This window comes from Homo sapiens, chromosome 4 (genome assembly GCF_000001405.40).
Source record: "Homo sapiens chromosome 4, GRCh38.p14 Primary Assembly".
NCBI classification, from domain to species: Eukaryota; Metazoa; Chordata; class Mammalia; order Primates; family Hominidae; genus Homo; species Homo sapiens.
Genome location: NC_000004.12, coordinates 121164607 through 121187781, shown reverse-complemented (window position 1 = coordinate 121187781; position 23175 = coordinate 121164607). Strand labels below are relative to the sequence as shown.

At 39.1% G+C, this 23175-nt stretch overlaps 1 protein-coding gene across 7 annotated transcripts in view, besides 2 other annotated features; it reads left to right on the top strand.

The window, feature by feature from the left end:
• TNIP3 (TNFAIP3 interacting protein 3) overlaps positions 1-23175 on the top strand; it is a 96076-nt gene that overhangs the window by 39702 nt on the left and 33199 nt on the right. For 4 of the 7 annotated variants that reach the window (NM_001244764.2, XM_047416182.1, NM_001128843.2 and 1 more), the window contains exon 3: positions 4986-5106. In NM_001244764.2, the coding sequence (NP_001231693.1) occupies positions 4986-5106 (121 nt within the window). Of the gene's footprint in view, positions 1-4985; positions 5107-5268; positions 5359-21447; positions 21592-23175 lie in introns of those variants that run through there. The other 3 variants (XM_011532257.4, XM_011532256.3, XM_017008625.3) reach the window with 2 other exon arrangements.
• Positions 18376-18425: an enhancer, noted in NCBI's record as "active region_21864". NCBI's record gives its function as "activates an Ori minimal core promoter by ATAC-STARR-seq in GM12878 lymphoblastoid cells {active_cell/tissue: GM12878}" and the evidence as "EXISTENCE:reporter gene assay evidence [ECO:0000049][PMID:35858748]".
• Positions 18996-19055: an enhancer, noted in NCBI's record as "active region_21863". NCBI's record gives its function as "activates an Ori minimal core promoter by ATAC-STARR-seq in GM12878 lymphoblastoid cells {active_cell/tissue: GM12878}" and the evidence as "EXISTENCE:reporter gene assay evidence [ECO:0000049][PMID:35858748]".

Here is a 23175-nt window from a genome sequence, read left to right as displayed (position 1 = left end):
ATTCTGTATTTAATTTGATTGAATCCCATCCATGGACTTTGGTCAAAAATATAAAAGATAGACCTGATCCCTATATCTTATCTCCCAAGCCTCTCTGAACATCTGACTTTACAAATCAGCTACATTTCAGTTGGAGGGACCTATAGTTGTTTTCTTTAGAACTAGAGCAGAAATGCCTGTCAAAATGGAAAACCTAAAACAAATTCTTTGGAAATAGCATAGCCCTCCATGGTCCTTCTTTATTAACAATGGCTGAGGTCACTAAGATCCCAGATGTAGAGTAAAAAGTCACAAGCTTCAGCATGAAATCTTACCCTGCTCTTCATGAGTCAAGTGACCTGGGAGAAGGTGTCTAGCCTCACTGCTTAGCCTCACTGACGCTCAAGCTTACTATCTGAAAAATATGTATGAGTAAGAGGTAGGGCCCAGAGCAGAGATCATTGGAGCCATAACTCTCAATCAGTTGAGCAGATTCTTGGAACAGATCCCAAGGTGGGAACAACTATGTACCCACAGAACTAATGCAAGGGTTATATAGGATCTGTTCTATTGGTGTTTAAAAGTTTGGTAGGGTGTTTTTTTTGTTTGTTTGTTTTACCCTCAGGTCATAGTATTGTATTAAGAGCACAACACTGTTGGATGCAATTATTAAGTGATCTCAAGAAAAAAGGAGGATTTTCCAACTTTAGTTAATTCTGCCTCTCAATTGTCAGAATGTTGAGCTTTATAGGAAAAAATGAACTTTGATAAGCACTTTCTTCTGTGAAATAAATCTAGGTCAAATCGAAATTTATGAAACATATTGATTTCACTAATTCAAAAGAGAATGTAAAATATTTTCATGTACAAATTCCTATATTAATTAAAGAATAATCTAAAAGGTTTCCTAAGAATGTTATAAAGCCCAAGTAGGTGACATAATTCTCATTTATTTGAGGTGTGACTAAACTTCTTGAGAATATTTTGAACCCAATGAACATTTTTTGTGCTTTTCTTTTCTTTATGGTGGTATACTAAATTTATGGCTCCTACTTTCCAAACTTGTTTGTTAGAATGTTTGGTAACTATTCCACACCCTCAGAATAATAACAATAGTATCGATCACTGAGCATCTGTGGCATGCCTGGCACTGTGCTAAGCATTGTACATATGGCATCACTAATCCTACTGTCAGCCTCACAGCATTACATTGTTTTCCTCCATTTACAAAACAGGCCAAAAAGGTTCATAGAAGCTAAAGGACTTACACTAGGTCCCACTGTTATGTTCAACTCTAAAAGCATGTTGATTTTCTACTGCATCACAATGCTTCTTTCAGAGGGTTCATATGCAAGTTCTGAGGCATATTCATTATAGTGACAGTGACAATGTCAATCATATTGGCAATGAGAAAAGACAGTGAGTGCAAGTCCTTACTGTGCTACAATCCCTGGAGCTCCACCCCTCCTGTGTGCTTTCAGTTCCCAGCTGGATTCCTGAGTGCTCAAAACGTATCCCTCCCACAGCGGTCAACACTGACGCCCACTCTCTCCATAGGTGTGACCAAACCCCCCCACGTCTGGTCACCACCATATGGTTCTCTTTTTCTTTGCTGCCACTTCTCCTCTTTCTGCAGTGGCTGAAGTTAGTGAAGCTGTAGTCACCACGCTCAGTCTCACTGTGCGCCAAGCCCAGAAAACCACTATCCTCATGAGGGCCCGTCCCTCTTTGGTTGTGGTCCTGAGGGACGTGTGCTGAACCAGGCTCACGTGAGAGGACGCAGGGCCCCAGCTCTGAGGCTGATCCTTCACCACTCTGTCCAAATGAAGAGGGAACAGTAACTGCTGGCTTCTAACATGCTTGCCACTGAAGTTGAAACAATTTTAACAGTGATGACTGCATGTGATTATTTCTGTGAAAAGTCAGTACCTTGCAATAATGGATACTCAATTGTTGTTTAATATCAAAGAACACATATAATACAAGTAAAAAAGAACAAGGCAGCCATGAGGGCAATACCAGCTGAGCTTGAGTGTCCATTCTGAAGCTGCTGCTAGTGTTTCCTTGCTTACTGATTTGTGTTTCCACTTTATCAGTCCTATGAGTTTGAGTTTATTTACATACATTTTAGGTAAGCACTTAATTTATTGGTTAGATTTGAGTTAATAATTAGGTATTTTGAGTTAAATCTCTTCCTGGAGTCATATTTATTCAATAACAAATCCTTATTGATGTCCTACTGTGTGCTAAGAGACTGAGCAGTGAATAAACACAGACAAAGGCCTTTCCTCTTTCCTGGGACATAGATGGGGCAAGGGAGGAGAAAAGTAAACAAATAAGAAATCAAAATAATAAAAAATTCAAAGAAGAAAATAAAACAGAATTAAGGGACAATAGTGATGGGGCTCAGAAATCTAGTTCAGATAGGTTAGTCAGCAGAGGCTTTCGCCATAAAGTGACATTTAAGCCAGCACTGAATGAAGTGGGATAGCAAGTTTTGCAGAGGAAGAGCAAACACCAAGGCCTGGAGTGGGAACTGCTTGGCATGTTCCATAAAGTTTGACGATGCAAACGTGTCTGGAAGAAAAAGAGCATGAAGGAAGAGAGTAGAAGGTGAGATTAGAAAGATAGCAAGGAAACGAGATCATTTGAGGACTTGTAGATCGTGATGAGTTTTATCTCCAAATGATCCTGCCTGGGATTGAAGTGGCTCAGTAACTTTTCTGTCACAGAGGGATGTAGGACCAGAAAGTCTTGTGACATCTTGGCAGGCAAGTCTGGTTCAGAATAGGTCCGAAAGCTGCCTCAAGAGCTTAACATTTAGACTAGTCCAATTCTGTTGCTACTTGGGAATCTAATTAACCTGAAGGATTTAAGGCAGTTACTAAACAAATTTTGTGACTTTCCTCCTCACAGGTTTGTGGAAAAAACCTGAAGATAGGTCCAAACTCATTGTTATGCATATGCAACCTTTTGCACCATGAAGGATTTGCTGTAGGCCCAGTAGCCCATATTTTACAATGGGATCATAAATGACACATGATGTACAGATATTTCACAGCCTGAAAGAAACAATATAAATATGAAAGTCAAGGTGCATATATAGGGATTTTTGATTATAGATAACGGAAACCAAGCAAAGCTAGCTTTAAAAATAATGAGAGAATTCATTATAATGACATGGAGTGTTTCACAGAATCTGAAAGTTGGAAGGTAGTCAGGCCTTAGAAGGGGCTGATTCTAAACCAGAAAATTGTCAGGACTCTCTCCATCTCTCAGCTCCGCATTTCTCTACCCATATGATTCATTCTCAGCTCACTCCAGACACAGAGGAGAATCCCACTGGCCAAACTGGGATCAATTGTTTACTCTTGGTCCAATCAGTTATAACCAAAAGGCAAGTTCAAGTCATATCAATGGAAACATGGCTGTCAGAGCCTACTCCTGTGAGCTACTCTCAACAAGGGTGGTGGATTGAGCAGACAACCCTAGCAACCTCTGCCATACAGGCATTTGATTAGGCCATTCATCTGGTTATTTATTTTATTTGGAGACAACTTTGAGAAGTACTCCTGCAAGAACTCCTCCCTCAATCCAAGAGGTTATTTTCAGGGGGTGAGATATGATGAGTCAGGCAAAAAAATATACATATGTAGAGAGAGAGAAAGAAAAAAAAATCACACAATTAATGCATTTTTCCTTGTGAGTTGTTTTTAATCAGATAATTTCTCCATTATGCCAACATCATATAAAGCAGTAGTCCCCAACATTTTTGGCACCAGGCACTGGTTTCATGGAAGACAGTTTTTCGATGGACTGGGGCAGGGGGTAGGATGGTTTCAAGCACATTACATTGATTGTGCACTGTATTGGTATTATTATTATATTGTAATATATAATGAAATAATTACATAACTCACCATAATGTAGAATCAATGGGAGCCCTGAGCTTGTTTTTCTGCAACTAGATGGTCCCATCTGGGGGTGATGGGAAACAGTGACAGATCATCAGGCATTAGATTCTCATAAGGAGCAGGCAGCCTAGATCCCTCACATGTGCAGTTCACAATAATGTTCTCACAACCTAGACCCCTCACATGTGCAGTTCGCAATAGGATTTGCGCTCCTATGAGAATCTAATGCCACTGCTGGTTTGACAGGAGGTGGAGCTCAGGGAGTAATGTGAGCCATGGGGAGGGGCTGTAAATACAGATAAAGCTTTGCTCACTTGCCTGCCTCTCGCTTCCTGCTGTGTGGCCCTAACAGGCCAGACTGGCAGTGGGGGTTGGGGACCCCTGGTATAAAGGAAAAATAAAAATTTGATTTGAGTAGGAAGCTCTGGTTTAATTTTGGCATTATCAGCTAATGGCCATGTGACTATGAGCAACTCCCTCTGGGAAGCAGCTGGACTAGATTCTCCTAAGGGGGCTTCCAGATACTCTTCAGCTGTAATATATTATTTCCATGTGGTGGCAAGTAGCTGCTTAGGGATTTGTTTTCAGGTTAATTGAAGACATACAGCAAAAATGGTTGAGGCAGACTGTAGAATTCTACAGGTCTGAGTTTGATCTTGGCCCTGCCGATGTTTCAGTTTGACTTCACTTAAGTTAGTAAATTAGTTAACTTCCTAAACTCAAGTTTACTTACCTGTCTAATGCCTGGGACAGTGACTACTTTAATAGGTTGCTGTGCACATTGAATAAGAAAATGCGTGAAAGAACCTGGCTCACCGTGAGTGTTCGATTCAATTCTTGCCATTGTTCTCAGACTGAAAATTCCTAAACTTGTCCGTATCTTCCTTTGTAAGTGAAAATTAAACTCTAATGCTCTTTCAAAGTGCTCTCATGGCATGGACTAATGAAAACATAATGAGATTAGAGTTTGGGAGATCGTAGAGAAGTATCATACATAAATAACACCTCCATGTCATCCATAAACTCACTCTACGCCTGAATAATTTTTAATTACCTTTGTATAATGTAACTTTCCCATGTCTTTCTGGGCAGATGTGAAAGCATGGAGCTGGACAAAAAAATCCAGGATCTGATTGAGAGAAATGCGTCTCCTCATCCAAAACGGTTCACCCCAGAGGCCATGCCAACTCACAGAAATCTATGTTCTCTGAAGGTAAGAAAACACCTTTTTTCTCCTTATCTCGATGTACCCTTCAGCAGTTTATTCATCAAGAAGAATTTGTGGAGACAGTCCCCAAGTCATTTACCGTCAGTCATGTACTTCCTTGTCAGCTGAGAGGATAAACTGAAGCAGTATAAAACTTCTCTCACACAGCCACTTCCTGTTACTAAAGAAATTCTTCAGCAGAAGAATTTGCTGGCACTTTCCACTTTAAAGTGTCCAGGCAGCTGTGACTACAAGAAGGTGAGGAGATCATGCTACTAGAAAGAATGTTTAATGCAGGGACAACTCTTTCCTGGGAAGAAGTAACCCATTTAAATTGGGTTACCAAGATCAGCACAACTCATGTCGATGATTTTTTGTAGTTGTTTTTGTTTCGTTTTGTATTTTTGTAAGAAAAAGCAAGGTTTCATTGATTAAAGGAGTTGTTTGACTTTGAACTTCCACTCGTTTCAGGGTATTTGTCTATGGTGCTTTATATAAGCAAATAAAATTCAAGGGTAGGCTCAAGCTAGGAATTTTACAGATGACTTTCTTGACATGCATCCTATGACAACATGAACTCTTAAACTCTGTAATCCTCCCAATTAAAAACTATCTTTCATGATTCTTACTAAAAAAAAAAATCTAATGTGAGAATGTGAGTAGTTTGAGAGCATGGCTGGCATTTTAAAAAGTAATTTATACTTCTTTATAAAAATAACATTAGTTCTTCTTTCTAAAGAAGTTCTTACTCAGTGTTGAAAATGTATATGGATAAACACAGAAAACTATAAAAATCATGTAGAGACAGATTCATTGTGGAGATAATGGAGTGTGGCCTCCCTTAAACAAATATTTACTTTTATAACTAATTTGCATCCATAAATTTGTTTCTTTTTTCTTTTAAAGGAAATCCCAGAATTGTATAGGCCTCAGACTTCACTAAACACAGAACTGCCTCTGAAACCACCAGTAGGCTCACCACCTATAGAGACCATCTCTTAGCATTTGGGATACCTCTGTGTTTTACACACACACACACACACACACACACACACACCTGTCTTATTAACTTACCCTCTTCACTTAATATGCTGTGGATACTCCTGTACCTCTTTCTTTCATTCATGTCATGAACAGTGTTGTGTGCTTTCTGCATTTAGTCACTTTTTCGTGTCTAAAAACTCACTTCTTCCTGAACAGGTTGTCTTTATTTTTGGAGTTACAGATGAATGTGTACTAATGGTTATGAGGTCAAATAAGGCCTCTTTCTTCTGTTTTCTTCTGCTCTTCTCATCCCAACTCGAAGCCCTCACATATACACCTCCAACTCCCAACTAGAAATTTATTCCTTCATGGAAATATGTGCTTTTTCCAGCCACCTTCTTGTCTAACCTCAGAAAGAAATTTCATGGTGACAATATCAATTCCCTCTGGTACCCTCATCCTCATATCCTCCCATTATCATCTTCTAAGACCTATTTGCTCATGACTGACCTTCTTTGCAATTCTGTTCATTCGACTTCTTGGTCCTCCTTTACATGGTAAAAACCTCTTCTACATCCTTATTACCTTCCTCTTAGCTACAGGTTATGTCTCCTTTTGGGACTTCACTGAAATTTATGTCTCTCTCTCTAAGATACTGATTTTCCTACGACCTCATTGAGGAAATTTGCTCATTCTCCTGCACTTCACACTTCCAGGCAAAGGGCAGCAGATTCTTAGCTGATGTTTTCTATTTTCTTTGTGAAGTATGAGGTAAAGACATCTACAGAGACTGAGAGGGTAAGAGGTGAGACCCAAGGCTTAAGGGAATTGGGGAAGATATGAAATGACTATTGGAAGGTAGGGAGACAGAATAGATAAGTAAAACGAAAATGAGTTGCAGAGTAGTAGTGAGGACCGAGTTGAGTTTGAAAACCACCACTGTATGATAAGACCAATCACTTAACAGTGTGGGGGTTCCTGTATCTCTAATCTCTCCATCACCTCTCACCAGCTCAAAATATGTACCATTCTCCTCCACTTCAAACATATACGAGACCCCATCTTCTTTTATGGGTAATGTTTGAACTCACTCTTACACAACATAGCCAAGCTCATTGATCACAGCATCCAAAACTTTCCCTCTGCTATCACACCATTAATAACCTCTATCTGGATAAATCCAATGGTCATTTTGCATTTTACTTTTCACTTGTCTTTTTATTTGCATTTGACACTATTTAGTCATTCAATTTTCTTAAAATATCTTACTCCTCTGACATCTATAATTTTTTTTTTCTGAGGCGGAGTCTCGCTCTGTCGCCCAGGCTGGAGTGCAGTGGTGCGATCTCGGCTCACTGCAAGCTGCGCCTCCTGAGTTCATGCCATTCTCCTGCCTCAGCCTCCCGAGTAGCTGGGACTACAGGCGCCCGCCACCACATCTGGCTAATTTTTTGTATTTTTAGTAGAGACGGGGTTTCACCATGTTAGCCAGGATGGTCTCGATCTCCTGACCTCTTGATCCACCCGCCTCGGCCTCCCAAAGTGTTGGGATTACAGGCGTGAGCCACCGCGCCCAGCCCGACATCTATAATATTAATTCCTGGACACCCTCACCACCCCTCCCCGCTTTTTTTCTCTGGTCTCTCCTTCTCACTCACCTTCACTGGCTTCCCTTACATCACCTGCTTGTGCTACATTAGTGTTACTCAAGGATCTGTCCTGGGCTCATTAAACTACAAAATATATGACAATGACTCCAGACACATGTACTTACTAAACATGGAGTGCTTTTCTACATGTACTTTCTTTCCACTCAGTCTTTCCTGAAGTGAATTCAATATATTTCCTGCTATATCTGCTTGTCATCCCTCCCCCACCCTGGCCACCACACACACATTTTCTATGCTGGTGAATGAATCACTAGGCACCCAATCATCCAAACTTGGGGGAATCCTGGATTCCTTCAGGGCCACCATGCTGCACCACTCAGGTGGCACCATTCACAGAATAGTGCCATCTTTCGTTCACTCTGGACTTTTCCTAAGGGAAGGTCTAATCTGCCTTTATTATATCTTTGGACTTTTTTCCTTTTCTTCATTCTATCAACATAGATCTTACTAATGTACTGAAAACCTAAAAGTGGTTAAAACTTAAAAGTAGATCTCTTTGCACACATCATTGAAACCAAATGCCTTTGCATCATATATACATTCCTCCAAGATATAGCTTCTGTCACATTTAGAACAAAACATTAGAAGAAGGATGTAATACTTGTTGGGGTAAATACCTATTGGGGTAAATATTTTATTTTGTTTTCTACCTACAACAACACTTAAATATGACTGTCTTTTATCCACATTTTCCAGATGAGGAATTAAGGCTCATAGAAATTTTAAAACATTGCCTAAATTCACAAAGTTGTATCAGGATAGAAAGCCAAGTTCGTACATATTTTTCCTGTAGTGTTTTAGTGTCTTCTATACATTCTGCTATTTCCCAAAGTGCACCCTGTGTTCTAGCTACCCATAAGCCTTTAACAAACCATGAAGTTTCCTGTGCTATCATTTCACATGCTGTTTACTCTTTCTGGAAATCCTTGCTTCTTTGCCCATTTGATGAACTGCCTTTTTTATCCCAATTCAAACCTTTCTGGTTTTGAAACCTTTTCACCCTCTCTAGTCCCACATGGCGTTACTCAGCCCCCTCCCTGCTTTGTCCTACATCTTTATCTTCTTTATATGTCATTTATAGACTTTATCATTTTGTTTTTATGATCACTTATGTATCTATGTGTTTTCTCTCATATGGATTATGAGAGACTCATGGATTTCTTGAGGATGGGGTATAAAGTGTTCCATGAAGGTATAAAAATCACAACATAGAATTTTCTAGAAAGCAACAGTAGTAAACAACTTGTTTGGTTTCATGAGACATGGTAACACTGAATATACATCGATTTATCCCTATAATTCCCCTACAAATAGTTCTCAGAGTCTGCAGGGGAGTATCAAATGTACACTCTTAAGCTTAATCTCTCAGTTCTTGTATGGAAGCTACTATTTGGTCTTACCCATCCTGGTGTCATGAAGTTATTGACTGCTGAAAGTTTTCAGGTGCTCAAACTGTCCTTGTTTCTCAAAGTTTGCTGTACCACTCTTAGGAGCACCTTTGGGTACCACTCACTGTGCCAAGTGTGCTCAATGTGGAATATGTCTTCGAGAACTCCAAATGCAACCAAACACTATTGCTCTTGCGACTGAGGTGAAGAGACTTCTTCTTTTCCAACTTTAGCTTGCAATTCCAGTGTTTGCCGGAGGGTCAGAGTCCTTTCACTTTGTCGTTGTTCAGGTTTTAGCTGCTGTGTATTGAGCACCTACTCTTGGCCAGCATTTTTGCAAAGTATTTCTATTCATTAGCTCATTTCATCTTTACCCCTCTACAGATGGGGAAACTGGAGTTCAATGCAGCTAAACAATTTTCTCATGATTGTACAGCTAATGGGATTTAGATTCTGGACCTAAACTCAAATATGTCTAATGAAAACAATTGCCCTGTACTTTCTACTTTTAATTTTCCCTCCCTCACCTCAGAGTTATTTGAAGACTAGAGCAGAGCTCCAGCTGGTGTCAGGAACGATACTGTCATCAGACTAACTCCTCCTCTTTGAGCTAAAAGCACCACACTTGGATCAAGCCACTGTTACTTGATTCTCTCCCCCGGGTAAATTCTCCTAGAACAGCCCCCAGGAGTCTCCATTCTTTATCCCAATAGACCACTGGCATATCCTCCTCAATTGTCCTCTGCAGGTATTTCAAATATTTGATTCTTTGAGTAAACATGGTTTAGTTTCCAGGTGGAATCCCTGCTGAGCTACTATTTACACAATAGCATTCTGCAGAAAGAAACCCTATATTTAAAACAAAACAAAGACCTTCACATTTTTGCTGAGATATTGATAGAAAGGGAAAAAATATAAGAAAATTTCTATTTGGTTAACACAAGCGTGAGCCAATGACAGGGAGTGAAGGCTTCTCTTGTTTTCACACTGAATGAAGTTAGCCTAAGAACAATAAGGTAGATTCCCTTTCCAGGAGCAGGAAATTGGTTTCTTTATGACTTTATGGGATGTGAAGGGTGTGACTGAATAAAACAGATATTATTTAGTGAAAGAGCCTGAGATATATGTCAAGTTCCCTTTTTGTTCAACTACTATTGCCAAGAATATGAAAAGAAGAATTACTATAAGAGAAATGAACAGACTGACTCACTGCTTTGAGGAAACAGAAAACCACTATTGATGAACATGAGGAACTCCATGAGCATGAAAGTGTGCTTTTATATTCTGGGAGAGTTGAAGAAGTAGAAAGTTAGTGACCAAAGGTCATTTAAAATCTTGTAGGCAAAGGAAAAATAATTGCCTAAGTGAGAATGATATTAAGATTCCAAAATGAATGTTAAATGAAAGTTATATATAACCAAGTTATAGTCCAAGTACTATGAGAAAATTATGAAAATAATATATGAATCTGCAGTCATGTATCTTCAAATATAAAAGAAAGGGACAGGATGCTTGAAATGTATTTCTTGGATAAACAAATATGGTTCCAATAATGCTTGAAAACAAGGATGAAACCTGGGAGTGAAAGGGAAAATGCCCAAATTTTAAGCAGACCTGCCAGAATTGAATTTACCTAAAATCTCCAACCTGTCTTTGGATTCCATTGCTTCTGATTTTAACTTAGAGGCAGAACTAGAAATGGGCTTTTAATGACTTTTGATACAAGTTAAGGGAGGAACTCCCAGTGGCTGGGGACAAGTTCTAGACCTGGACACTCTTCCCAAGGTAAAAAGCCTTGAGAAATTTCTTTGGTTGGTTCAGAGATTAATATATACTTATGACACTTCACAAGATTGTGAGGGAAAAACTTCTTGCAAACTACCGTAAATTGACACATGTTTTCTGTAACCACACTGTAGGAAAAAAAAAAATCTGGCTTTCCTTTTCTTATTTCCCTTTTTTTGAAAGCTGTTTTTTTTTTAATCAAAATCTTGTTTTCTTATCTGTACAATGGGTTGTGATAATTATACAAAGTGAGAGAAAGTGCACCCTGTAAATATAAAGTGCTAAACCAACACAACACTATCATCATCATCATCATCATCATCATCATCATCATCATCATAATGCTAGTAGGATGAGCTTGAGCCTCAAAATTTTCTTTAATGGTTTTCTCATACAATAACTGACTTCCTCTTTGAATCTCATTATCTAATTTCAAAGGTTGTAGCTGTGGAATGTTTTGATCTATTTTTTTCTGCTAGAAAAAAAAAAGTTGCATTGTTGTGTGAGGATCTGTTTAGCTTTCACTGGGAAACCTTTGGACACCTGGCTGAAAAGCTCTGCCTGCATGTTCTCAGGCAGTGAGGAGCCTGTCAGCTCAGCCGCTGCACCTTATGGCATTTGACGCTCATTACTGGCAACATGGGTGAAGTTATTTAAATGAGCCATGCATCTTTCTTTTATCTGTAAAGCTTGGCTATTCTGATTCTGAAAGTATTATAAGCCCTCTAAATTAAACAGATTAGTGGATAAATAGGCCAGGTTGTATTTCCCAAAATATCACCATAGAGTTAATTTGATCCCATGGTTAATTTATGACATATTTCTCCTTCCATTCATTACGAGGATTTTTAAAGGATTCCACTCTACATGAATATCAGGCATACATCCAGATAAGGAGATCTGACTGCATATGCCCAGCTTGAACTCTATTTTCTAATAAAGTACACCACCAGACAACCCAGGAAAACAGAGACATAGGTCTGTGAACTAAAATTGGATCCTAACACAAAATAATTAAAACTCATAAAAATTAAAGGAGAGAAAATATTTCCCTAACTTTTGAAAGCCACCCACCTATTGGGCAGAAATTTCTACACAGGACAGAAGTGGTGCAAGGGGGGAATATAAACTGAGGCTCCATTCTTGTTGATAAATAAGACACACTTTTGAGTAGGATGCTTTCTATTTACTCAGAAGTCATCTGTTCTATCACTGGGAGAATTTGTCCCATGTTCCACAAAAGAAAGAGTTACAGAAAACTGGGAGATGCAGATTGTCTTTTGGAAGATGTAAGCAGTAGGTAGAAGAGGATTCTCTCTGCCTTAGTGAACACAGCAGTCCTGGCTGCTCCAATTTGGGTCAATGGGGTGGGCAAGGGAGCAGACGACAACACTGGGAGGCTTGGTGGGGGAAGCAACCAAGACTTGAAGTGAAAAGTGGCATCTGTGTGGAAATTATAAATGTTAATTAGAAGAATATAAGTCTTCCTAGAACCCTACAAAGAGAAGAAAAAGAACTTGAGGTCTCAGGGTTTCTACTGAATGGACACTTAAAGCCAAAGGTATTATCCTTACTTTTGGAATTATCACTCCACCTTTGTCTTCTTCCAGACTTGCATGACTTCAGCAAGTAAATCTGAAGAAGTTTTGGATAGGTATTCCTTTTAATGTAAGAAGAAGAACAGCATAAGCCTGTGGGTTAAGAAATATGTAAACTCATGACAATGTTAAGGAAGCAAAATATTGGGCTTGAGAGGTACCATAAATAACATGTTCATAAGAGTTGTTTAGCAAATGTGTTCATTATATTCTTGATCTATTTAACTTTGTGACAGGATGTGGATGTCTCCTAGGGACATCTCAACCCAAGCTGGGTTTTGGAATCTAATGCATCAATAAGCCTTCTTTCTCAAGTAAGCCTTCTTGTTTCTAGTTTGATTGAAAATATTTTTGAATGGGTATGGGAACAGTACCAGCAAAATGGACACTGTAAGCTCTTGCTGAAGAATGTTCGTGTCATTCTCATGTCCACCTTCTAGATGAAATGTAATAAAAACACTTTTTACTTTATTTTGTACTTGTGGGGAGAGTGAGGCATAACTCACAAAGTATGTAAATATGTTTTCTTATGGGACTCTAGAATAAGTAGCAAAAAAAAGATCAATTATTCCTTTTTTTTTTCCAGTGAGGAAGATAGCTATTCTGATTTCTTTTTAAAATAAACGTTTGTCATTAAAACCGACTTAGCAAATGTTTGCAATTTTTTAGGCTAGCATATTGGGAGATTTTTTTGAGTCAGGCTTATTTTCAGACAAAACACTTCTGGTATGTGTTCCTTGTATCACCCATGTTTTGAGTCCTCACCATAGCCTTTCCATATACCTACATCATCTTTATATGCACATGTTCTTTCTTATTTTTTTTATTTTGTTTATTATTATTATTATTTTAGAGACAGGGTCTCGCTCTGTCACTCAGGCTGGAGTATGGTGGTGCAATCATGGCTCACTATAACCTCAACATTTTGGGCTCACACGATTCCCCAGTCTCAGCCTCCCAAAGTGGTCGGATTATAGGTGTCAGCCACCATGCCTAGTCTCTTAATTTTTATAATTATAACTTTTGGTATTTAAAAATAGTGTCTAAATCTATAGATACGGTGTTGAAATATATTGCCTCAGGAAGAAGGTAGTTCTCTTTCACCTGAAGTATCCAAGCTAATCTGGACAACCCCTTGGCAGGAATGATGCAGAAAAGATTCCATCATCAATGGAGTGGTCCCCTCTAATGTTGAGATTTTATATTCAGAAAACAGAAAACACAACTGAGATGTGCCTTTTGCTCATCTTCATATTCTAGTACTTAGCACAATACTTGGTCCACAGACAATAATCAATAAGTATTTAATACAAGAATGCATACATTGGTCAGGTGCAATGGCTCACGCCTGTAATCCCAGCACTTTGGGAGGCCGAGGCAGGTGGATCACTTGTGGTCAGGAGTTTGAGACCAGCTTGGCCAACATGGTGAAGCTCCACCTCTACTAAAATTACAAAAAAATTAGCTGGGCATGGTGACACACACCTGTAACCCCAGCTGCTCGGGAAGCTGAGACAGGAGAATTGCTTGAACTCGGGAGGCAGAGGTTTCAGTGAGCCAAGTTCTCACCATTGCGCTCCAGCCTGGGCAACAGAGCCAGATTCCATCTCAAAGAAAAAAGTGCATACATGAATGAAGGTGAAGTCAACACATGAGCAAAGTACAAGAGAAAAACAGAGTGATCTGCATTGCTATAAAATGATCAGCAGCTAATTTCCTTCCAGAGAAAATAATTTTTAAAAAAAAACTCAAACACAGATTACAGTTTTAAAAGGCTGAATTTCTCTTTTCTAACCACTATAGTTTTTGAAGGCTGAATTTTCTCTCTTCTGACTACTACAGTTTTTAAAGACTGAATTTCTCTTTTCTGACCACTAATTTCTATTTTGGAAATGCAAATTAATCTCTAGGCATGCCATGGTGGGAATTTGTTAAGATTTTGTTTGGATACAACGTCAAAGGTCAAGCCACCTCATATCTATCCCTCAAAAACGCTTAATTCCCATAAAACTTCCCTGAATCATATTCCTAATGACTTAGGCTCCTGCGATGCTTTTCCATCATTGGTAAATGATGTCTCCTGCTACAATTTTTAGGTGTGTTATTTACGTCTACCCACACAGATAAAAGGTTCTTTGGGGGAAGTAAACCAGGAAGACTAAATGAGCTCTGATATGGGTTCAGCCACCCACTTGTCACATCATAATTGTGAGCAAGTCATTTGCCATCTCTAAATTCAACTTTGTCCTCATTAGCATTAAAGCTGCCTCTTCTTACGGGGCTGTTATGAAGTTCAGATTGAAGCAAATAAAGTATTTTAAACCACATAGCTCCTTAGTACAAAATAGTAATTTTCTTTGTTTTCTTAACTAAATTTAGTTCCATTCTAGGACCTCTAGCTTGTCCTTTGGAAAATAATTTATCTAATTGACCGCAGAAAATTTCAGTCACTTCAGTGTTTTCTCAGGCAATTTATATTTTCTGTGCAGTGGTATGCAAGAATTATCCCCTGTCCCTACACATAATGGTACCTAGGGATTTGTGGAACAGATTTTGTGAAATAATCTGGGTGAAATAGAGTTGCCAGATGTAGCATATAGAAATATAGGATGTCCACCTAAGTTTAAATTTCAGATAAACGGCAGAATATTGTATGAGACAAACATACAAAAAATTGTTGTCTATCTGAAATTCAAATTTGACTGGATATTTTGTATTTTTCTGGCAACTTTGGGGTGGAGACATCAGGGTTACAGTGATCCCCCATCTGACACTGCCATTGGCACTGATGTAGTCTATCTCTTACGGGTTTTTTCATTGGCCTGTATCCTCACTGGCAATCACTAAAGCTTCCAGGTCACTCAGCACATCTCTAGTCCTTAGGGTCATGTGGTAAACACTACATCCTCCTCAATTTGACTCTGAGGCCTCCTCAAACCCTCAGTTAACCACTCTTTCATCCTTCCCAGGAACATAGGAAATCTCTGGCTCTGCTTCCACACCACTCTAAGGTTGAGTTGTCTCAGGACCTCTCTACTTAGACAAGTCATAAGGCCATGCATGTCACAGCCGTGTACCATGGTGGTGTGGAGAAATTCTCTTCAAGGCTTGTACCTTCCCTGGACTTAACCCAGTGAGTAAGGCTGGAGCTGACTCTGCTCTTTGATGTTCAATGTAAGCAATTTGGAAGATGACAGATGAGTACCTAGAAGTAGGGGAATAGGGGCCAGGTGTGGTGGCTCATGCCTGTAATCCCAGAACTTTGGGAGGCTGAGGCAGGTGGATCATTTGAGGTCAGAAGTTCAAGACAAGCCTGACCAACATGGTGAAACCCCATCTCTACTAAAAATACAAAAAAATTAGCCAGGCGTGGTGGTTCATGCCTGTAGTCCCAACTACTTGGGAGGCTGAGGCAGGAGGATCGCTTGAACCCAGGAGGCAGAGGTTGCGGTGAGCCAAGATCGCATCACTGCACTCCAGCCTGGGTGACAGTGTGAGACTCCATCTCAAAAACAAAACAAAACAAAACAAAAAGTAGGGGAGTAGGGCTCCATTTCCTCATGAGAACTGAGAAACATCCAGGCAGTACTCTTTTTGCCTGAATCATTTTCATTTTCCTGAGGCATGAAACCTTTCTCTTCTGGGGCAGATGGTGAAAGTGGTAAGGACAGGTTACACTGACTCTTCATCTACTAATTTGTTTTATTGGTTATTCTTGGTATAAGTTTTTATGCCTTGATTCAGACTTTTCCCCTAACATTTTATCATGAACATTTCAAACATGTAGGAAAGTTGAAAGAATTGTATGGTATACACATATACCCACCATCAAAATTCTGCCATGAACATGAACATTTTACTCTACTTGTTCACCATCTATTCATCCATCTATCCACCCCTCTTTTAATCCATCAACTCATGTAACTTTTTGAGGCATTTCAAAATAAATTGCACAAAATAAATTAGCCTAAAATCTTTAAAAATTGTTTTGAAAACACTAGCTCTTGAAATTCAAAGGTTTGATTCTCCAGATGGTGTCTAGAGTTTGGAGAGTCTATTTTGAAATGCAAAGGCCAAACAGGGGCTGTTCTCCTCTTTTTATTCTATGACAAACTTAATCTGACAAAAGATATCCCTTACTGGCAAGGCATGGTGGCTCACGCCTGTGATCTCAGCACTTTGGGAGACCGAGATGGGCAGATCACCTGAGGTCAAGAGTTTGAGACCAGCCTAGCCAACATGATGAAACCCCAACTCTACTAAAAGTACAAAAATTAGCAGGGCATGGTGGCAGGTACCTGTAATCCCAGCTACTCGGGAGGCGAAGGCAGGAGAATTTCTTGAACCCGGGAGGCAGAGATTGCAGTGAGCTGAGATCATGCTACTGCACTCCAGCTTGAGCGACAGAGCAAGATTCCTTCTTTAAAAAAAAAAGATATCTCTTACCGAGCAAAGAAAGAATTAGCTACATAAAACAAAAGAATAGTGTGTGTTTTGGGGGATCATCAGTTAATACTTCAATATATTAACTTATAAGATCTTAGAAAGCACCATGAAAATGTAGAAAGTATTATTAAAGACAACAGTTCTGCCTTTAAAAAATTTTCCCATAGCATATCTAATTATTTATATTATTTATTTATTAAATATTAATCAAAATCAAGTAAAAAATTTTAAGAGGCATTTGTATGAAGGCTAAAGACTATTGACCATGTAACCAAAATAGGATGAAGTAAAATATTTGCCTATAAAATGAATAAAAAGAAAATACACGGAAACAGGCCAGCTCTTTAAACGTGTGTTCACAGTCCTACCTGATCATTTCTGGTTTGGAGGCAAAGCCTATAACTTTGTGTATCCCCGTGGTCATTGTGTGTTCTGGACTGTGTTCTGAAAAGCAGGGGTGTGCTATGATTTTGTACTATAGATTCATACATAAACGGACTCATTCAATAAAAATGTATTGTAATACTCTGTACCTTGAAGGTACTGTGGTAGTTCCTAAGGCTAAAGTGATAAATATCGACCTCATCTTCAAGAAGCTTATAGCATCTCAGAGGAGAAAGGTACATCGAATTAACAACTGCTTTACAATAAGTGCTAGAGTTGATGCTTCACAAAGCACCATGAGATCATAAAGAAGGAAGTAGCTAACTCCACTCTGGAAGACCAGGGGAGACTTCACAGAGGAACTGATGGTCAAGGTGGGTCAGATTGTTTACTGCTTTGTGGGCACTCAGAAATCTTTAAACATGGATTTCACGAAGTCTGCAGTTTTGTAGAGGCTGCAGACTCGTCAACAAAAGCCAATTTGCCTTCTAATGTATCTGATGTGCCCTAAAAACTAAAAGTATATAATCAAGACAGACTGCAAACAACCTCGCTATATCGCATAGAAGCATTGTTTCAGAGTTCCAACCAGGCGGGACACAAGTGAATATCCTCTAAGAGGCTATGGAATCTGTGACACCCCATTCCCCGATTCTCCTAGTTCAAAACCAGGTTTGGGGGATCAAAGAGAGGTGATTTACTAGTTGGAAGCCAAAAAGTTGAAGTTTCTGATCTTTAGATCCCATTTAATCTCTTGAGAAGATGTATGATTTGGGAGCATCATACATTTGTTTTGGGGTAAGGAAGGCAATTTGTATGTGTGAGTCCCACATGAACACGCACAGGCACTAAAATGGCACTACTTTGGGCTCGAGAAACACAGAGTGAACACAACACACAAAAGTTGCTATCATGGAGTTTACAAGCTAGTGTCGGGAGGCAATCAACAAAAAGAAGAAAAAAATTTAGTGTTATGGAAAAATAAAGCAGGAAAGGTGAATGGAAAGTGCTGGGGTGGAGAGCAATTTTAAATTGGGAGGCCAAGTAAAGACTCAATAAACAGATGTCACTTACACCATTACCTGACAAAGGTGAGGGGATGTACCATGTGGAGATCTAGGGAAAAGACAGTTCGAGGCAAGAGAGAACAAGTTCAAGGGGCAACGGTGTGGCCAGGGCATGGCGCAGAATGGACTAACGGAAGGATACCAAGAATGAGGTCAGAGAGGCCTGGGCTAGATTGTGCAGGACCTTGCCACTATAAAGAGTTCTGCTTTCACTATGAGTGACATGGGAAGCCACTGAAAGGTTCTGAGCAGTGGAATGACATGAAATGACATTTTAAAAGTCTCACAGTGGCCACTGTGTTAATAATGGGGAGGGGGGAGTGGAAGCAAAAATAGAAGCAGGAAAACCCTTAGGTTATTGCAGTAATCCAGCTAAGAGATGATGGTGAGTTGGTGTCATGCAAAAATGCCAATCATCTTGCCCAAGGTCACATAACTAGCAAGTGGTGGAACTAGGTTTGACACACAGTCAGAGATCAGTCACTGCTGGACACGCTCTTAAAAATGTTCCTATGAATAAAATCAGGAAGCAAATATTAAAGTCCTCATTTTGAAAAAGTTATTAAAAGGCATTTTTTTTGAGAAGCTGTGGTGGGAGGATCATTCAAAGCCACGAGTTCAAGACCAGTGTGGGCAATATAGTGAGACCACATCTCTACAAAAATTTAAAAGATAAAAATAGCCAGATGTGGTTGTACACACCTGTAGCTACTCAAGAGGCTGAGGCAGCTGGATTGCTTGACCCCAGGAGTTGGAGGTTACAATGAGCTATGATTGTACCACTGCACTCCAGCCTGTACTACAGAACATAACTCTGTCTCTTAAAAAAAAAAAAAAAGCAAAGAAAAGAAAAAAGAAAAAGGCTGGGCATGTTGGCTTATGCCTGTAATCCCAGCACTTTGGGAGGCCGAGGCGGGTGGATCACAAGGTCAGAAGTTCGAGAACAGCCTGGCCAATATGGTGAAACCCTGTCTCTACAAAAAAAATTAGCCAGGCATGGTGGTGCATGCCTGTAATCCCTGCTACTTGGGAGGCTGAGGCAGGAGAATTGCTTGAACCCACGAGGCGGAGGTTGCAGTGAGGCGAGATTGTGCCACTGCACTCCAGCCTGGGTGACAGAGCGAGACTCTGTCTCAAAAAAAAAGAAAAAAGAAAGAAAAAATGGTAAGTTTATTTCACCTTGCCACTTGCTTATTAAACTGAGAAGTCTCTAGGCTTTTGTGGCAATGTGCTCCTCCCCTGTCTGGATATATTTTCAAAAAGCCTACAAAATGTTCAGATAGATTGGATGCAGGATGTAAGAGAAAGAAGAGTCAAGGATGACTCCAAGATTTTTGATCTGGAGAATAAAAGGTGTTATTAATTGTAACAGGGAAGGCAAGTTTTGCAGGGAAAATCATAAACTAAGCTATCCTGATCAAACAGGTCAGGTGAAGAAGGAGGTAACTATTATGCATACAAGCAGAGATGACAATTAAGCAATTAATACAGGAGTCTCGAGTCCAGGGATATGGTCCATTCCTAGTGCCCCTGGTGAACTGAGTGCTAAATATTCTGATTGTCACAAGCTGTTAAAATAAATATTTTGAATATTACTTTTGCTAATGTATATTAACTGCATTGCAGTTTCCAATCTCTCCCATTTAATACATGATGAACTAAAACCAATTAAAAAACCACTTTGATCATGTAATTCCTTTGCCCAAAGGTCTTTAGTAACTCCATATGGCCTATAAGGTCAACATTTCTTAATCTGAAATTAAAATCTTTTATGATTTCATCCAAATAAACTTTGAAAATACCACACGGACCCTACTCTAGGTAAACTGGATTTGTCAGAATCCTTCATAACTAGGCTTGCCCAGTTGTGTTCTGTTTCTTACTGTGCTCCCTTTGCAGCATTTATAGCTCAGCTTTCACTCTCTGTCAAAATCCTATCTACCCTTCAAGGCCCAGCAGAAACTCTGACTCTTTCCATAGCTATTAAAGGTGATAATGAGCACTCTCTCCTCTGAATTCTTACAGGCTTTATTGTCTCTATCATTCATTTCCTGGTCTTCATTTACTGTTTAGTTTTTCAAATATATATATATTGACATACACACAGCCACACACACATATGTATGTGTGTGTACATTTCATCATAAGCAGGGAATTTTTGCTTTTGTTTTCCTTTGGAACCCACACAATGTCAAGTACAGGGTGAGTGATGCATAAATTGTGGATTTCCCTTTCCTTTTGTCATGTTATTTGTTTCATAAATAATTTGATTGATGGTCCTATCTTTAAAACCAAATTGTTATTACTATATAAGCTCAGATAGCAACCCTAGGAGAAGGATACTATTACTATCCCATTGTATAAAATGGAAATTGAGCCTTAGAGACCTTAAGCATCTTAGATGACCAAAGGCACAAGCAGTGAGTGGCAGAGCCAAGCTGTGAGTCCAGATAATCTAATTCTAGAGCTAGATCTTTTAGTCATTACTAATCCTCTCTTTCCTACCTACATAGCACATACACTTAAAAATTCATGCAAATAGATTCAGGAAACAAAGAAGGTTTTTCAGCTCCCATTGTAAAAGCATAAAAAGGAAAAAGGCATGTTTCTTTTACCTGCCAAAGAATGCCTCCAATAACTTATAGAAATATAGTACTCTCCTCTTGGACTAATTTTAAGATAATTATTGTCCACCAGAATGATGGTTATAGACCAGTGACTGGTAGTCCTTGTTCCTTTACCACATTTCCCTTTGTTAATTTTAATTTTCTTTCCTCTGTATAATATTTTAGTGACTTCAGAAATGAAGACTCTTCACAACAGCCTTGGAAACATGGAATGACACCTCTGTTTCTCTGAAAGTGATTTCAGCTAGTGATACTTCTCATGAAACAAAGCTTGACTAAAAGCCAGACTCTTAAAATATGTGGCACAATGTGAGAGGGATGGAGGTGAAGTGAACAGAGCATATGTAACAGAAAAGACCCAATTAATTCTTAGGGATGGCATATTGAAAGTCTCATTTTTCTGAAACCAAACTTGTGGCTCTTCAGAAGAGTTATTACTTATTCATAAATAACCATATGGCTCTCTTGAGCTAATAGAAAATCTGTTTGTTGTTTATCTGCATAACAGAAGAGGCAAAGGAATTGTAAAGAAAGAAGCAAAGGTATAGAATTTCCATTTAATAGAAGCCATCACACCTAACAATGTATGTGCATCAGGATATTTTACAGGGGAGACTCAAGAGGCACAATGCCAAGGATGGTATTTCCTGGCAAGAAAATGTTCTTCCCACCCACTTTTCTAGGTCAATGTTACCACATCCCTATACAAATACAAAGTTAAAGCTGAAGAGAACCTTACACTATATAAAACTATGGAGTGTGTATGTGCATGGTATGTTTCAGAAGAAAAATATTCTTACAATAGAGTTTTCTTTTTCTTTTCTGATGAGCAGATTTTAGTGTTGATAAAGTGTCAGTTCAGGAAATCGCTGCTTCTGTACCCTAAAGTCAGATCTTATGTGAGTTATAACTTTTTACTTTCAGAACCCTGAATGAACAATTTGATTCCTACCTGTATTTTTGGATTTTGCCTTAAAGCAGCGTCACTCCCTTTCACTCAAGCGTAGACCCAAACATAACAAGAAACCAGAAGAAAGTAAACACACACACACACACACACACACACACACACAAACTAGCAAAAAGTTCATCGATTTTGTAAATCATTATATAGATATTCATTCATTTATTCATGTAGCAAAATGTGTTGAATGCCTGCTGTGTGCCAGACAGCTCAGTGCCTGGGTGCGTGGACACAGAGATTAACACAAGAACATGGAAATATGTAATCGTAATGCATGATGAAGTGCTCTCCTTAGCTGATTAGAGGAAGTCAAGAGAAGATCAGAAGGAAAGAGAGGCATTGACTTAGGTTTTCCCCGTCATAAGGTTGGATGGAGGGCCCAGAGAGGAGACATCTGAGGTGGCAAGAACAGCATGCACAGAGCTCAGGGGCGTAGAACCATCTCACTCATTTCAGGAAAGGGAGGTCAGTCAGGATGGTTGGAGCACAGGGGAGAGTTGGAGAGTAGGGGGAGATATTCAGGAGAAATGGGAGGGCCAAATGTGGGACACTCAATCACTCTCTTTTGAATTTTAGGAGTTTTAGGCTTTATCCTATATATATGTGAATATCTCGTAGGCAGGTTAATGAAGTTAAATGATTGACCATAAATTCTTTTCTCTTTTTAGTTACACATTCTTTCCTTTTTTGTATTCCTTGCCTCTTTCCTTTTGTTCCAAGTCCAAAATGAGGTCTTCTGTTCCATCGCAGTTCACTTATGCAGCTCCAAGTATCTGCCATTTCCACGCTTTTATCTGTACTACCCAGTAGTGCTCCATTACCTCAAGGCTCCTAAAATGATAACAGTCAAATAATTAAAGTGAAAATGATTCTCCATGAGAAGATTTCACTTCAAATGAGTCATGGAGACAATCTGGACTTGATTTATAGAAAAGACAGACTTAAACTTGAGACAAGTTTAACCTTTCTGCCAATATAGAAGATTAGATTTGCAAACAATGCCCATTTTCTTTACAATGAATTATTTTCCCTTTTATTTCTATAAGAATTAGTGGCACTTATATTATTATGTATTATGAATTATGTATGACTCATTAAGTTCTACCAAGCTACACTCACATTTAGAAGGTATTGCCAGAAAATCTCGCCTTTAGGGAAACCG